Consider the following 18,635-nt stretch of genomic DNA (forward strand, 5'->3'; position numbering starts at 1 on the left):
GTCTAGATATCTCTGTGAAGGTAATTTTTAGATGAGATTAATATTTAAATCAGTAGACTTTTAAGAATGCAGACAGCTCTCCACAATGTAGGTGGGCAATTCATTCAATCAGTCAATCAGTTAAAGGTCCTAAGAGGCAAGACTGACCTCCCCTGAGGAAGAGGGAAATCTCACTCTTTCTCTTTCTTTCTCTTTCTCTACACACACACACTCTCTCTCTTTCTCTCTCTATTCTGTTTCTCTGGAGAACCTGACTAATCCATCTGCCTTAAAAATCCTATTTACATTTTGAAAATTGTTATTACACGAGTCTTAATGTCTGGCTTTATAGTTATGTATGTGCCCACTGATGCTTGAGCTCACAAAAGGCAGCACCTATGTCTTAGTCTTCTTTGCCTGTCCTGCAGCACTAGGATATCATCTTGCATGCAATATGTACTCAAAAATGCAAATTAATATAAATTTGATAGACGGAAAGAAGTAAGTCACAGGTTTGGTCACAGCCTGGTACTTCTGCTTTCCTGAACCCTAAGAAGAACAAACACCATAAAATGATTTCAGCATTCAGACTGATGTTATGAAAATCTCGAATATCTGTGGTCTTCAAATACTTCTCTTTAAAATAAAGCCATTGGAATAGATTAGTAATTCTCAAACTGTGCTACAGGGGTTACCTAGTGGTTCCTCAAAGGAGAAAGCCTGATGGGGGCCCGAATGGTCTACATGTTGTGAATCTAATTCCTATACCTATCCCCTCCTCTGAGCAGATCCATTTTGATTAATTTCACATATACATCCACACAATACTACATTTCAGTTCCTAAAAAGTAAAAAAAAACCTTTAGAAACCATGGGGCTAGCTGATCTCTCTGAGTTTCCTTCCAGTTCTAAGTCTCTTAAGATTGTTTTGCATCTAGTTTGCAGGTTTATTTTAGCTTTTCTTCTGAAAGATTATTTCTGCTTGAATTATTATTTTAATCCAGGATTGCTCATACAGGAGTCATGCCAGGGTCTTATCTTGTAGAGTGAGTGGTAAGAAAGAGGGAGAGTCCTGGAATTTGGCCAGTTAGGAGCAGCCCCATGCAGGCAGCTGGATATTCTATGGCCCAGGACCCTGGGGGACTGATTGAGACCAGCGTGGCCATACAAGGAGCTCTGCCCGTGGGGACTGGGAAGAGGGTGGTTCCCCCTCACTAGGTAATAGAGTCTCAATTTGGGATAAAAAGTTTATCCTCAGCAAGATCTCACAGTATGGATGGAGCTAAGATCTGAGGCTATCAAAAATGTTGTGAGGCGCTCAGACTTATCCATGTCAACTAGGGGCCTAAGAAAGGACTCCAGTATAAGCAAAGGACCAAGAACCAGAAGAAGAATACATGACGAAGTCCAGATGGGGCCAGAACCAAGGCAAAGGCAAGTAGACACGAGGCTCCCTGGAAATCACCCAATCTCTCCAGATTGCTGGACAAGACCATTTTCAGATCCCACTAGCTAGCAAAATAATACTTTGGTTGAACTTCCTTCTTCAATAAGATTGGTTCATCCTTAGTGTGAACCAATAGGAAGAGGTGTCAGAGATTTTTGCTGAGAGAGGAGATCACAGAGAATATTTTAAAATGAGTGCTGGACAATAGTGTCCAGAACATGAGAGACATTATCTCATCATATTCTGAACTAGTCAGACCACATCTAAGTATTAATTCAAAAAACCTGGAATTGGCCTGAGCTGTTTTGCTGAAGTAAGAGATGTATCTACACAGCACTGACTCACGGTCCAGGCACCAAATGTGCTGAAGCACATTTTATGTACAAAGTGTTGCTTTGTAACCATGAATTCAAGGCAAGTTTCAGGGTGGTTTTAACAGCTTGTCAGCATTGTTTCTTGACAAGAGTAAGATTGATGATTCGCACCCAGTCTTGGTGAGATTCCTACAGGACTCTGCCACTGGATCTGGTTACAAGGCAAGAAACATGGCTACCTGAACAGGAAGTTATAAGGAGCCTGAGCCAAGAATCCATTTTGGGATCCCTGTTCCAAGATGTTCTTTGTACACTTTGGTATTTTCTTATCCAAGAGGAAAGCATGTCCAGGATATGCTAGACATGAAGGGATCATAATTAGAGCTTGGTCCAGACTTTCATCTCTTGCTGTGAGCCAACCTTTGGCTGTGATGTACATCTTTATTTTAATGTTGTTGCTATATTGTACCTTTTTGCTTACAATAAATCATAAATCCATAAGCATTGTCTTTTTAGGTTCCCTGAATCTCCCTTAGCAACTGAACTCTGTGGCTGTCACCATTATCACACCTGGAAACCAAATTTTCATAGGAATTATGTACAAAGATGGAGACCAAACTGAAGACTAATCTGAAACCATGTCACATAATGAAGAAATGAAAGAAGTAGAGAGGCTTCATTTGGGGAAAAGATCTAAAGAACTGTAATATGTAATAGTGTTTTTTCCACGTCTCTTTCAATTCAAAGATTGCATTATTAATTTTTCACATATCACCAGAAGACAAAACATGGCAGTAGAATGATAGTACTTGGAGGCACTTAAATAAGAGAACAAAATATCTAACAATGTTGGCTGTTTTAACTGAAATGGGTTTCTCTGTATGGTTGCAAGTTCCTTATTTCTAGAAGGTTTGAGAGACTGGATGTCAATATTTACCATATGTGTTGATGGTACTATTGTTTTCATTTTGAGATTAAACACAATCTTTTCTACATCCTCTCTCAATTCTAATATTTTACAATTCTAAGATTTTTGGGAGTACAGATTTTTGAGAGAGTACTGTACAGATTTTGAGAGTACAGTTCTAATCTGTATTACAATGACATCAAAATTCATTAACTTTATTCCTTACTTATATCAAGTCTTCTATATTCCCCATATGTCTGAATTTATTATGCCCTGTATGTACCCCAACTCCTCTGCCTCTCTGCAAAAATGAACATCCAAGATCCAACTCAAAGTCTTAAAAAAAATCAAAGCCTTATGTTTTCACAGATTTCCTTGTGATTAATACAAGAAGAAACAAAGGGAAACTGTAAAAGAGAATTATCACTACCTCTAGGATGGCTGTTGAGAGCTGGAATAGTGTATCCAGGAAACAAATACAATAGAAGAGTGTTAGGCACCAGAAAAACTCACTGCCCATCAAAGCACCTAGGGCCACGGGGTACCAGCTTGGTTCCTTGAGGAGCAACACACCAGTGTAGCCCAAATAGGTTAAAGCACAGCCAGCCGGACAAGAGACTCAAAAACAGACAAGTGTGCTGCAGAGAATGACGCTTCTTGAAGCAGAGAGGTGCTCTCATTGCACGCCAAGTGCAATGGTCTGAGCTGCTGTTGATGGGGCATCAAGGGGGCAAGAGATTGGTTCCGGATCATCCTGCAGCTCAAGATGTGCAGACTTGTGGGGTTGTGGGTAGAAAAGCAAACATCCATTGGCTTCTGAGTCATTATGAATTGAGAACATTTTGAAAGTCAATTCCAAAAGATGGAGCAAGAGATGATGATAGGACCTAACATAAGGCCTGGTCACAGGAATATTCAACACAGAGGAGTGGATATGGGGAGGTACAAGACTCTTGGAGAAAGGAAAACAGCCCTTTACAGTAGAGTGGGCCATGGGTGGGAGCCACTAGGATGCCAAGTTAGCTCCAGCAGCAAACACCCACATTCTTATTCCCATGGTAATACAGGAAAGAGCACTGGACTTTTCAACTCAAAATAACTCCTCAATAAAATGCAGTCAGTCCAATAAGTTTCCTTCAGAAAGATAGCCTCTTGTCCAAGTAAGTATTTGCAAAGCCTCTCTCCTCAAATCTTCAATACAGGGAATTAGCCATTGCAGAAAGCCTGGGAAGAATTGGGCAGCCCCCCCTTTCCTCAAGCACCACCGTCAATCATGACCTAACACTTCATAAATAACCCAAAGAGGAAAACTTTCCTCAGTCGCATTTAAGCCAGCGAGGTGTATATAGCTTTAACAGATCCAGGACACTTATCTCAAGCTGGGAGTGTAATTTCATGGTAATAATTTGCTTAAAGTGTTGCTGATTGCTTCCTATTTCTCCCCGTTAATGACTTTTGCACCTTTCCACCATTCCTTTTATATGTGCTGCTATGGCCATTACCTTACAGGAGGCTGTTTGGACAACACAGGGCCTTTCCATAGGCTGCTAAGACCTGTACTGGACACTCCCAAGACCTGAAAAGTCTCTTTCGTATAGGTTCCATTTTTTTTTTTTAAGTTTTTTTTTTTTTTTGACTTCTGTCAATACATTGCTGTTTCACAATCACTGCTACTCTTGCAGTGCATATATTCAGGAAGCAATTGAACAAAGGTAATTTGCTGTTCATAAATTTCCCAGTGACTGAAACCAGCCTGCAAAAGGTGGTGTGGAGAGCATCAATTTGGATGTATAAAAGAATATATCTCGTTATGGCTAGAAGTCCAATGTGGAATATCTTGGAAAGTGAGTTAGCGGTCTGAGGGTCATTTGAGAGCCTCTTAATCTCTACATTTTTAAAGCAACTCATGCTTGCAGATTTTGGAAAAATATTTTCTTCCCCTATTGGCAATGATTCCAACTTTGAATGATGAAGTAGCTTTTCCCAGATTTTATGAAGAAAAAAAATAAATAGTATGTTCCTCATGCAACCAGGAAACATAATGCTTGGAAATGCCAGGGAGTAAGGGCGCATTACAGCAAATGAACAGTCCTGTGGGTCAGCTCCGCGTCTCAGCCTGACTTCTCCCCTTCTAGTTTCAACCTATCTCTTCTTGCCATATATTCACCTTCTTCCAGCCCTTGCCATCCATCTTTTTTCTTTAGATTTCCCTAATATGTATACAGTGTTCTCTCCTATTCTTATTTGTGATATCTGCCCTTCTCACCTCACTTTCATTCCACCAGAGGCAGGGCAGTCCTGGGATCAGAGAGGTGGACAGACGGCAAACAGCGGGTGCTCCTCAGGTTCAGGCATTTGATTTCACTGCCCAAATTCCTCATTTCAGCCTGAAGGTGAGCATGAATGAGGAACTGAATAGAGATCCAAGATACTGCACGTGCGTCAGCACCACCATGACAGCCCAGGCTCTGAATCACAAGGCGCTTTAATCCCTCAGTGACAAACCCACCTAAGGAAAGGGATACCTGAAACCGGACCAGGAAATATTTGTGCAGGAGGCAGGGAACTCGATCTGCACAGCTTTTCTCAGTCATTCAAATTCCAATTGAAAACAAGGACAAGTCCTAACTCCAAAAACAGAGTGTTCTCAACACCCACGTCCATCATCCCGAAATGTAACACAGAAAGAGTTTACCAGGGATGTTGTCCCAAGACTCCTTGCATAATTTGTGGTCCACTTGCAGCAAAGGCTTCTCCTCAGGGCCCCCCAATGTTTTCCTCTGCAAAGAAAGAAGGTGACTTCACAGATTCAGACCTTGGAGGAGTGTACTGTCACAGTTCATGTCACACTCACAAAAGAATCAACCTCATAATGTGTAGGTTTCATTCATTCATTCTTCCAGAAAATTTATATAAGCTGCCTACTATGTGCTACACATTGATCTAGTGCTCAATGATCTCTGCCCTCATTGTATTGTAGAAGTAGGTGGGAGAGTCAATAAACACATTAAGTAAATTACCTTGTAAATTAGAAGGCAATAAGAATTTAAAAATTGAATAGGGTAAGTGAGTGGGACAGCAAGGGACAGTAGGAATAGGGTAGTCCCAGTGGACCTTATTAAAGAGGAGATATTTCAGCCAAGTCTTTTTTTAAAAGCAATTTCAACTTTTATTTTAGATTCAGGAGATACGTGTGCAGGTCTGTCACATGGGAACACTGTGGGATGCTGAGGTTTGAAGTATGAATGATCTGGTCACCCAGGCAGTGAGCACAGCACCCATAGGCAGTTCCTCAGCACCCCCTCTAACACTCCCCGACCCCAGCAGTCCCCAGTGTCCGTTGCTCCCATCTTTATCTCCACATGTACTTGATGTTTAGTTCACGTTTATAAGTGAGAACATGTGGTATTTGGTTTCATTTTCTTTTCTTTTTTTTTTTTTTTTGAGTCGGACTCTTGCACTGTCGCCCTGGCTGGGTGCAGTGGCGCGATCTCGGCTCACCGCAACCTCCACCTCCCAGGTTCAAGCGATTCTCCCACTTCAACCTCACAAGTAGGTGGGATTACCACCACACACCACCACGCCCGGCTAATTTTTTTGTATTTAGTAGAGATGAGGTTTCACTATGTTGGCCAGGCTGGTCTCAAATTCCTGACCTTGTGATCTGCCTGCCTCAGCCTCCCAAAGTGCTGGGATTACAGGTGTGAGCCACCACATCCGGCCCTGGTTTTCTATTCCTTAGGATAATGGCCTCCGGCTGCATCCATGTTGCTGCAAAAGACATGATTTCATTTTGTATGCCTGCATAGTATTCCATAGTATATATGTACCACATTTTCTTTATCCAGTCCACCACTGATACACATCTAGGTTGATTCCATGTCTTTCCTTTTGTGAATAGTGCTGCAAAAAACATGCAAGTGCATGTGTCTTTTTTGTAGAATGATATATGTTCCTTTGGGTACATACCTAGTAATGGGATTGCTGGGTCAAATGGTAGTTCTAAGTTATTTGAGAAATCTCCAAACTGCTTTCCACCGTGGCTGAACTAATTTACATTCCCACCCAAAGTGTGTAAGTGTCCCCTGTTTTCTGTAGTCTTGACAGCATCTGTTATTTTTTGGCTTTTTAATAATAGCCATTCTGGCTGATGTGAGATGATATCTCATTATGGTTTTAATTTGCTTTTCTCTGATGATTAGCAATGGTGAGCATTTTTTCATGTTTGTTGGCTGCTTATATGTCTTCTTTTGAGAACTGTCTGTTCATGTCCTTTGTCCACTTTTTAATGGGGTTGTTTTTTGCTTGTTGATTTAAGTTCCTTATAGATTCTGGATATTAGACCTTTGTTGGATGCATAGCTTGCAAATATTTTCTCCCATTCTATAGGTTGTTTACTTGTTGCTAGTTTCTTTTGCTGCGCAAAACCTCTTTAGTTTAATTAGGTCCCACATGTCAATTTTTTTGTTGCAATTGCTTTTGAGGACTTACCCATCAATTCTTTGCCAAGGCTGACATTGAGAAGGGAATTTCCCAGATTTTCTTCTGTAATTTATAGAGTTTGAGGTCTTACATTTAAATCTTTAATTCATCTCGAGTTAATTTTTGTATATGGTGAAAGGTAGAGGTCCAATTAAAGAAGGTGAGGGAGATATCCAAGCAGACATCAAGGAGAGGGCACTGAGAAAGAGTTGGAACAAATAACAAGAGCATTCCTTATGTGACCCAGGAGCAACAAGGAAGCCACTGGGGCAGGATCTGCATAAGAGATCAGAGTAGGAGGCAATGAGGTCAGAAGGTAACGGGGGCTCTACAAGTCCTTGTATGGATTTGAGCTTATATTCAGAGAAAAGTGGAGAGCCATTTGAAAGTTTTGAACAGAGGAGTAGAATGGCCTTATTTCCCTTTTAAAAAGATCACTTTGACTGAGAATACACTCTGTGTGTGTGTGCATGTGTGTGTGTGTGACTTAATCTATGTGACAGATGTTGGCAGCTCCACCAGAGTGGTAGCAGTGGAGGTGATGCAAAGGAATCAGATTCTGGTTAAATTTTGAAAGCAGAGCTGACAGGATTTTCTGATGAATTGCTTGTGAGATGAGAGAGAAAGAAGAGTCAAGGATGACGTCAAGTTTTTTTGGCCTAAGCGATTGTAAAAATGGAGTTGCCATCACCTGCAATGGGGAAGTTTAGAAGTTTAATTTAAAATGATTGAGTTTAATAGATTTTAGTCATTTAACAGTGATTACAAAATATTGCAATGACATTATGTACTCTCCTATTATTTCACAGATTGTAAACATTGTGATTTACATTTTGTGCAGGCCTAGAAAAGCTAAATATTCAATTAGGAAGATTAAAGCTGCCTCTGAAAAGCAGCCTAGGACCTGCAGACAGTCATTCTGGCTATGTACTAATCTTGTCCGTATGTTAAGAAAGTACACACTCTGTCAGAGGAAACCACTGGATGTTAGACAAACTCCTTACTTAAGGAAGTTGAGCAGCTTGTTCTGATGAATGTGATTTCTTCATTCCCTCTGTCCCCTGCCAGTCTCACACAGGATTTCCAATGCACAGAGCATATCAGAGATAATGACAACATGACATGGTTCACAGTTGCGGCTCTTTGAGAAAGCCTACAAAGCTGCCAAATTCAGAGCACAGATCAGAGAAACAGGGGCTTTTCCCCCAAAACTGATAATTTTCCATACCAAAGTGGTCCGTTCTTAATGCTTTAAGTCGGAGCCAAAGGCTTCCTAGTTGGATGAAACACAGAGTGTATTCTAATAAAACATACAGGAATTGTCTGGAATCTCAAGCAAGAAACCCTGTGGGGTGAGTAGTTTTTGTGGGGCTGTAAGCAGAATGGAGCAAGGAAAATATCTAGATGTTTTGATTCTTCAGCACACTGGTCTAATCTTAACTAAGTCTGGAAATTAGGTCTGGACTGGCACTGCCCAGGAAAGGAACTTTATTAAAAATTCCAGTAGTCTCCACTCTGTGTTGTTCCCAGGACAAAAGATCCATAAGGCTAATGTTTTTATGATTCTTCTCTTTGGAATAGTGGCTTCCATAAAATAAGTAATTGATTCTTGTTAAATAAAGAAGAAACAAATGAATGTTTTGACTCTAGAAATTAAACAGAATTTCAGAGCTGAATGAGATAGAACAAGTGGGTAAGTGGCTTTAAGAAGATATGTGATAACTATGTGGCTCAAAGAACAAAGAAGTTTATTTCTTTCCTATGCAACAACTCCAAGGTCAACATTTCAGGCCATGGGTAGCTGTGATCCAGGAGGTCATTTGGGAAGCCAGGCTGATAGCAGTTCTACCATCTTCCAGATGAGATCTCCAAGGTCACTCTAGTCTTCACAGTTCCTGGAGAAAGAGGGAAAAAGTAGGAGTTCAAGGCCAAGGCATTGCTCTTAAGCAAGGGAGGCAGCAGTGGTACACTTCACTTCTGCTCAAATTCCAATGGCAAGAGCCAAGTCACATGACACCCCCTTGTTGAAGAAGATCTGTGTGTGCAGTCCTCACTGGATAGTCCCATGTCCATTGTAGGTCTATTACTATGCAAGAAGATGAGAACATATTTCAGAAGGAAAATGATCTGTTTCTATCCCAATAGCATTCTTTACTGTGCTAAAGAAATAAGCATGGCGCTCCAAGGAAGGAAAAACATTTAACTGAAGAAACTTCCGTTCTATAAAATTGGCCTGGGGACACCACTACCAACCCAACACTAACCTAGGCAGAGTAATACAAAAGGCAACCATTATCTGAAATTCTCTAAGGAGAGATTTCAGATTATCAGGGAGTTTAGGAACTTGACCTTAGCTGAAATTCTCCACATAGGATCACAATTTTGTTTGGACACTTGTTTAACTAAAATAAGTTAGTTAAATATATCTGAAGAAACTAAAACGCACACATACACACACACAAACACACACACATCATACTAACAATAACAAATATAACTACTAACATCTTTCTGAAAAACCTGCTTTATTTATATTAAACACACCACAGGACACTTGACCATGTATTCCGAACTAGAGAACCTCTACTTTGACCAACAGTCTGAGAATAACCTACGTTAGTAAAAAACTTGGCTCCTTTACCAGAGAAAATGTTAGCTTATAATAATAGCTAATATTTGAGTGTCTACTACATGCTAGATATCTATCATTACATCCTAACCTTCAGAACTGTCCTGTAAAATCTTTAGGAAGATGTGGAAACTGAAGCCTAGGTAAGTTAAGTAACTTCCCTAGGATTTTATAAATAATAAGTGATTGAGCCAGAATTGGAACACACTTCCTGACTGCAAAACCTATGTGCTTTCCTCTATGCTACACCAACTCCAATTATGCCAGGAGTAATTCATGTTTCAGTCATGTAAGAAGACCAAACTGTAAATGATAAATTGGGATTATCTTGTGGAAGACAGATTAAATTACTCTGTGTTGTCCTAGAAGAGCCAGAAAAAGTGGAAGGAAAGCCTGGGAAAATAGATTTATGTTGAAAAGGAGTAAGAGCTTTCCAGCAGCCCTAGCTGTGTAATAGATCAGCTCTACACATGGTAGTGAGTTCCCCAGTGCTGAGGGTATTCATGCAGAGGCTTGGCAAGCATTCATATGAGTTTCCTGCAATGGAGAATAAATCCAATGACGTCTAAGCTTCCTTCCAATTTTGTGGTTCCTCTGCCCTAACTCATATAAGATGTCATTTTACTTTCTTTGAAAACTTTTTATTTAGGATAATCAAATTTTTTTTTGTTTTGGAGATTTCGATACATTTTTTGTTCTGTTGATCTACTTTCGGAACTCATTTTAAATCCTGTCAATGATTGTAGAATATACTAGGAAGCAGTAGAGCATATAGGTTAAGAGTTCATTTTCAGAATCAGATAACTGGCCCCATGACTCGATGACTCCAGAACTCACAAGCTGTGTCATATAAACTCTGCAGGCTTCAGTCCTGAACTGCAAATGGGAGTAGTTAAGTCTATTTTATAGTGTTAATGTATTACATAACATAGTATTTATAAATTCCCTAGCATAGCACATGGAACATAGCAAGGGTCCAGTGAATAATGGTTATTTTCATAAATAATATAGAATTGAGAGAGCAAATGAGCAACATAGAAAAATCTTAAAACACCACTAGTCCGAGGATTCTTGCTCTTCTCTTGGTAGACAATTATCTGTAAATATAAACCAACTACACACACACCATTTATCACCACCACCACCAAAGGGGCTTGATTAGTTGGTTGGTAGAACCAAAAGTTCACTTGGGTGATTTCATTGCCCTTTTCTCTTAGGAGAACTGGAGTGGGCAGTGAGGATGGAGGGGAAGGAGCATTGCCCCCATGTAAGAAAATCCTTCTCAGTAATGGTTTCTCACAGGAAAAGATGTGCTAAATCACCTTGCCTAGAGTGAATAGAAACTAGAGCTAACTCCGAAGGTATACTGGGAATAAACTACAACTTTTGGAGCAATCCACAACCTGCTCTAGCTTTTGAGAGAGAAGTTGATCTATAAGTCAAGCACAGATTCAGAAATGCTGAAGAAAACTAATGGAACATTGCAGTTTCATTGAAGATTTAAGTATATGCTTTTGTGTGTAAGCATGTTTAAAAATTTTCCATATACTATGGTTTTCGCTTTGCTTTGTTTGCTTAAGGTATAGAATTTGATATGTGTTACAAGTTGCATAATTTATATGTTACATGTTAAATGTATTTGTTCTGGTGATATACATGCATTTGTTCTTTGGCAATATCAAAGAACAATGCTTTTCCTAGGAGGCATGCCTGACATGTGATATATCTCTAACAATTGGTATAAAATAATATTTTGCACTCATCCAGGGTTTGTTATGTGCTAGGTAGAAGCTGTTTTAGCACTCTATATACCATGATTTATTTAATCCTCAAATCATTTGTGAGAAAGATGCTCTTATTATCACCGTTTTATAGATGAAGAAGTATACATGGGGAGGTTAAGAAACTTGCCCTGAGTCACACAGCTAGTGTCAGACACAGAATCAGAACCCAGACAATCTGGCTCCACAGCCTACATCTTGACCATTATCCCTAGTTATCTGAGTTTGACCAAGTCCCAGGAGAATTGGTGGACCCAGCTTGAGAGGCTCAGCTGGACCGAGATGCTGGAAGACCAGAGCTCCAGGTAATATCAACGTGGGTTAAAATGCCAAACATATTTTGGCTTAGAAAATTGAGGTTCCTGGCAGGAAACACTGAAACACTGGCTTCTCATTCAACTTCACTAACCATTCCAAACTGTGAAAAATATCTAATTAGACATAAAATCTCATTTCCCATGTACTTTTATAAATTCATATTCAATTACACCTGGATTAATGTGATTTTGAGGACAGGTGTGGAGACTTAAATGGAAAACATGAAGCCTAATTTTTTATCCAGAAACACTGGCTTCTCATCCAACCAGCTCCAGCTGGTTGATATTTGCAGTAGGTTTGCAGTAGGTGACTTATGGTACACACTGATCATGTCTCAGAGCACCTCATGGATGACTCCTGATAAACTGGCACTAGGGTTTATATATTTGGTCTCCCTAACAGCAAGTCACAGTTGCTTATCTTTCAGTTACATTCCTAATATGTTCATAAATTCCAGCCTTTGTTATCCATGACTGTACTGCGCTCTAACCAGGCTCACTTCTCTCCTTACTAACAATGCATTCCAGCAATGGGTCCAAATCCTGTTTCCACAACTTATCACCTGTATGACTTTGAACAAGTGCTCTTACCTCCTAGAGGCTTAGTAGTCACATCTATAGCCTAAAAGTAATGCTTACTGATGGAAATATGATGGTTTAAGGTAACAAATGTAAACCATACCGCCGGTTCCCTTTCCCTCTAATGTGCAACATTTCAACTCTATTAATTTCTATTTCTGAACTGGATTCACTTCTTGCCATATCAACATGTTGGAAACACATTGAAAACAGGTATTTAACATTACTTTCAATGCTTTTTCTTAAGGTTGAGTATTCATATTTTTTTCTGAGTATTCATATTTTTTGAGGTTCATCGCTTTTTAGCAAAGACACTTCCATGAGGGCACTAGAATCTCTCTTGTATAAACTGATTTTTTAAATTGGGTAAAATACATATAACATGAAATTTACCATCTTGATCTTTTTAAGTGTACAGTTCAGTAGTGTTAAATACATTTACATTATTTTGCACCCAATCTCCAGGACTCTTTTATCTTGCAAAACTAAAACTGTATACCCATTAAACAATGACTTCCTATTCCCCCTTCTCCCCCAGTTCCTGGCAACTACCATTCTCCTTTCTGTCTCTGCGAATTTGACCACTCTAGGGGCCTCATATTGGTGGAATCATACAGTATTTGTCCTTTTGTGACTAGCTGATTGCATTTATCATAATGTCCTCAAAGTTCATCCGTGTTGTAGCATGTGTAGGAATTTCCTTCCTTTTCAAAGCTGGATAATATTCCATTGTATGCATATACCATATTTTGTTTATCCATTCATCTGTCCATGGATACTTGTTAGCTATTATGAATAATGCTGTTATGAACATGGTTGTAAAAATAGCTTCCAGACCCCACTTTTAATTATTTTTGGTACCTACCCAGAAGTGGAATTACTGGTAATTCCCTTTTTAATTTTTTGAGAAACTACCATACTGTTTTCCATAGCCATTACACGTTTTTACATGCCCATCAACAGTGTACAAGGGTTGCAGTTTCTCCACATCCTAACACTTGTTATTTTCTGTTTTTTGATAACCATCCTAATGGGTGTGAAGTGATATCTCATTGTGTTCTGATTTGCATTTCTCTAATGATTAATGATGTTAAGCATATTTTTATATGTTTATTTGTATATCTTCTCTGGGAACATGTCTTTTCAAGTCATTTACCACTTTTTAATTCAGTTGCTAGCTTTGTTGCTGAGTTGTAGGAATTCTTTATATATTTTGGATATTAACTCCTTATCAGAGATATATATATGATTTGCAAATTTTCTCCCATTCTGTGGGTTGCCTTTTCACACAGTTGATTGTGTCTTTTTTTTTTCCTTTTTTTTTTTTTTTTGAGACGGAGTCTCGCTCTGTCGCCCAGGCTGGAGTGCAATGGTGCAATCTCTGCTTACTGCAACCTCCGCCTCCCATGTTCAAGCCATTCTCCTGCCTCAGCCTTCCGAGTAGCTGGAATTACAGGTGCCCACAACTGCGCCCAGATAATTTTTGTATTTTTAGTAGAGACAGGGTTTCGCCATGTTGGCCACGCTGGTTTCGAACTCCTTGACCTCAGGTGATCTGCCCACCTTGGCCTCCCAAAGTGTTGGGATTATAGGCGTGAGCCACTGCGCCCAGCTCCTTTTTTTATTTTTAGTTGACGGATAGTGTTTATACACATTTATGTGATTTGTGTCTTTTGATGCACAGAAGTTTTAAATTTTGAGGTAGTTCAATTTATTTTTTTCCTTCAGTGTGCTTTTAGTGTCATATCCATGTAAAAATTTATATTTTATATATGGGGCTAATAAAACAAGAATCATCAAAAAATTAAATCTAAAAATTGGTAACCTATTCTTACTTCCCCTTTTAATGACTCAGTGAATTTCATCTGACCTGGACTGTGAACCTCAAGAGTGCTGGGAGACTGCAAACGTTCTCATGCAACCAGTGAAATGTTGATGGGATGTCAAAACTATGTGACTCTAGGGGCTGTGCTCAGTATAACTTTAGGATTTACCATGTTGGTCTCAGTGACCAAAGAGAGGATATGACAGTGAGGTTGCTTCACTCACTTTGGCCAACCATGTTTGTTGACCAAAGGAAAAAAAGATTATTCCACTTAATAAAATGGATGGCATCCATGTCTGGAGCAGGACCACATCCCAGGCACTTTTCACATGTTCTCTCACCACTAACCTGTGAGGACATATTGCTAAGCTCATTTCCTAGATGAGGAAACTGAGGTTCAAAAAATGAGTCACTTTTTCTAGTTCAGATAGCAAATGGTGAGCTGTGAATTCAATACAAATCTGGATGGTTCACAACTTGCACTTAGAACATTTGTCTTGGCACACACCCTCTGAGGAAAAGGACTGAACAGCACTTTCAAGGACATAGAGAAGACCCAAGTGAGGGTGATAGTGTTTCATGAAGCCATTCCTACCTCTAGACAGACTGTCTGGGCATCCAGAGCCTCCGCCTCAAACATGCCCAAGGGAGTTCTGCAGAACTGCGAGTAAATAAACAGAGCAAACCCTGTTGCAGGAACACCACTGAGCTATTCGGCATAAAATTCGTGTCCCTTTGTTTACTCAGCAGCTTATGCATGGAAGCCAGAGGGCACTGAGATGCCGGGATCTTGTTCTCCAAGTGCCTGCAGCTCAGGCCTGCCTGCTGTCACAGCGGGACAGGCAGCCTGTGTGGAGGGTCACATGTCAGTGAGTAATCACTAAGAAAAGCAACTCTCTGAAGGGCTGATCAACATGTCAGGGTCAGGACGCGCCACACAGATGTGTAAATGTCTTTGTGTGTGTGTTCGCATTTTAAGTACCTATTAAGATCTGTCAAACATGATCAAGCATCTTTAATTAAGTGCCTGGGCCAGTTCATATGTACACACATGCAACTGTTCGTTTCTACCCACTTGTAACTTGATAAACATTTTCTGTGGAATTTTATGTTCACTTATTTACCTAAGCAAGTAAATAAAATACATATTGAAGGTATTTTTTTCCTCTGGTCTACTGTAGGTATTCCAAGAAATATTTTTCTATTTCATGTACATAAAACTTTCTCTCCAACTACTCATGCAGCCAAATTCAAATTCAGAATCTAGAGATGGGCGAACTGTCACTAAATTGTCAAATATCTCTTTTGTTTTAAATACTTTGGCTAGTGGTTGAAACAATGCGATATATCTAGCACGACTTCTCTTAATTTTTAATCCAATGTGTATTTCAAGGGGAATTTAATCCATCTGGTTCTCATTCACTTACTCTTAACTCATCAAAGTGGTACTTTGCAACTGATGTTTGATGTCCAAAATGGCTTATGGGTTTTTAAGTCTTTATAGAGATCTTCCCTGCCTGCCCATTTGTCCTCTCCACAACACCAGTGATAATGAAGAAGTTATATTTTGTTTACCTGACATAGTTTCAAATGACCAGAAAGGTACGCTTGACCAAATGTCAAAGCTCTCAGCCCTATGAGGTCACGATTTTGGAGTGTGATAAAGTGCAATGACCTGGGTGGCACGTTGCTGGAGGCTGCACATGTTGCTCATGGGCAGAGGCCATGTACTCTGTGCTGTACCTTGGCTTGAGGTCCATGCCCACAATGGATGTCCCTAGGCACCGGGACCTGTGATCTGAAACTTCTTTCATGTAGCACTCCACACATATGATGCCACAACCTCTTCCACCCCTGTAGCACACACACACACAAAGCATTCTCATCACATGTGTTGTCTATGATCACTTCAAAACAAGTTTTTAACTCAAGAAAGCCCTGTTGTATCAGGAGAAAAACACATTCAGCTGCTCCTGCTGTTCAAATTCTACCAATAAGAAACTTTCTGCCGTCTTCTCAGGCCTTGGTACTTCCCCAGGTCTCTCGAAGAATGACCACAAAATGCTTAAATATCTCTCAGAAGAAGAAAACGCAGTCTACCATTTCAAAAACAGTTGCAGGATTTGGGCACCAGAAGTAGTCTTTCAGATCATGTAGTCTTTAAAATGTTAACTCTCCAGGTATCTGAATAGGAAATTGTTCATCACATTTCTGTATTTTGTTCTTTCTTTTAAATGTTTAGTGATGTGTAGTCATGACCTTAGCCAGCTTCTCCACTCATTAGTCACTCAATAAACATTTAGTGAGCACCTACATTGAGTCAGACACTGCTAGGCCCTGAGGTTTTCAGAACGCAATCCTGTCCTGATAAGAGCCACTCATGGATCGCCTGCCCATTGAAAGCTGGCAGCCCAGAGACCCCTGTCCTGATGATGCTGTGCCCTTCTGAACCAGTCTCAGGTATACACACGTGGGTCCTGAGCAGATAGAGCTAAAGGGCTGCCTGCTCACCAGTCACAAGAAAAACAGTCTCCTGAGCTTCAAATTATTCTTTGTTTTGGCAGAACAGAAAGGTGGAATATATTTTCTCATCCATCACAGGATCACGACCAACACTCCTATAACAAAAGACAGGTAAACAAGAAAAAAGCATAATGCATTTATTTAATAAAAGTTTTACATGACATGAGAGCCTTCAGAAGAGAAGATGCGAAGACCTAGAGGAAATTGTTTTTATGCTTCAGTTCAATAAAGAAGGGACAGTCTTGTAGAAATGTGATTGGACCAAAAAGGTATGATCTAAGGATAATAGAATGAAGGGAGGAAACCAACAAGGCCTGTCTCTTCAGGTAATTCCTGGCCTCTCTGTGCAGCATTCCTTCCTCCTGGGTATGGAGCAGGACCCTGCTGGAACCAGGCTCTTAATGACCTGATAGGTCAGAGAGTTTCTTTATGGCCAGCTCTAACACAGAAAGGTGGGGAGAAGTTAGGGTAATATGTCTAGGTTTTATGGCTGGTTTTGGGGAGAGGGGTTATAGTTTCTGTGACCCACCTTGGAGGAAAAAAAAATCTGGTTTCTACTACTCACTTTGGGGGAGAAAAAGGGGTGAGAGACAGAAGGGCAGGAGATCACAGAGAACTTCCTTCTGAAACCCCTCCAATTTCCTTCAGTTCAAAATATTCGCCATATCAAGGCGTCATACTTTGTAATATTGTGTTCTGAGCTCCAACAGTTTCCAATATCAAAGACCAAATGTATGAACATTTATATAAACTCCAGTACTCCACATATGACAGCGCAACATTTCATCTCAACCCTCAGCACATTGAGGTGCTCAGTTTCATCTCAACCCTCAGCACATACTGGTGCTTTTCTGTCTTAAAGGGAAGATGGAAGGAGCTCATAGAAGTAAGAAGGTAGTAATTCATGCTGGGTGCAGTGGCTCATGCCTGTAATCCCAGCTACTCGGGAGGCTGAGGCAGGAGACTCGTTTGAACCAGGGAGGCGGAGGTTGCAGTGAGCCGAGATTGCACCACCATGCTCCAGCCTGGGTGACAGAGCAAGACTCTATCTCAAAAAAAGAAAAAAAAAAAGAAGGTAGTAATTCATTACTTACAATTCTGCCTTTGTGATAACTAGTGGTACTTTTATCAGTTCAAAGAAATATAGAGTTTTCTTTTTTGAAGTGACTTATGCTAGATATTCCATCTCGCTTAACAACTGCATTTTATCATTATACCAAAAAGGGAAAGTTTTCAGGCTGCTGATTCATATCCCAGTGAGGTCATCTGAATTTTGGGGGACCTCAAATAGAAATCATATGGGGGAAAGAATGAGCCTAGCTCAAACCAGACAGGCTGAGAGCTTATCTTGCCAGGACATAGGCTCCCCGGTGGGTGGGGGAGATGGCCATTGCTGCCTTTCTTTCCTTCCCCACTGAATTTAAGCAGATGCAGTTAGTCACTGTGCAAAGGAGTATGTGCAAATCTAAGTATTCATGTTTATGTGTGGTTGTCAGGTCTAAATCAGCCAGGCAGTAATTTCTCTGGGAGCCCAATGTAGGCACTAAATTTTGCACTCAACCACCGAATGGTCCACATGCCCCTTAATCTGTCTTCCTGCAGGAGGGCTCCCTTGGCACCATCCTGCCTGAACTTGGGGCCAGCCTTTCACTGGAGCCCCTTCCCGTGAATTATGGCCTACAGCATGGGGGCTGAATAGAAAAAAAAAAAAAAAAAAAACCCTCCAGAAATTCAACTGGAAGGGCTGACCGGAATTCAACCTAATGTTGAGAATAGCAGGAAAGCTTCTATTATTCTACTTCATTCTATCTGCTATGAGGCAGTGCGGCGCCTGGAGTCTGACTGAGCTTAA

The 18,635-nt window shown here is 40.3% G+C and overlaps 1 long non-coding RNA gene across 4 annotated transcripts in view; it reads right to left on the reverse strand.

The window, feature by feature from the left end:
• Positions 1-7,826: 7,826 nt before the first annotated feature.
• The window catches only part of HEY2-AS1 (HEY2 antisense RNA 1), a 171,898-nt gene continuing 161,089 nt past the window's right edge, over positions 7,827-18,635 (reverse strand). For all 4 annotated transcript variants that reach the window (NR_183491.1, NR_183490.1, NR_183500.1 and 1 more), the window contains one exon: positions 7,827-9,024. This is a non-coding gene — a long non-coding RNA (HEY2 antisense RNA 1). The remainder of the gene's footprint in view (positions 9,025-18,635) is intronic.

Source organism: Homo sapiens, chromosome 6 (assembly GCF_000001405.40).
Source record: "Homo sapiens chromosome 6, GRCh38.p14 Primary Assembly".
Lineage (NCBI taxonomy): Eukaryota > Metazoa > Chordata > Mammalia > Primates > Hominidae > Homo > Homo sapiens.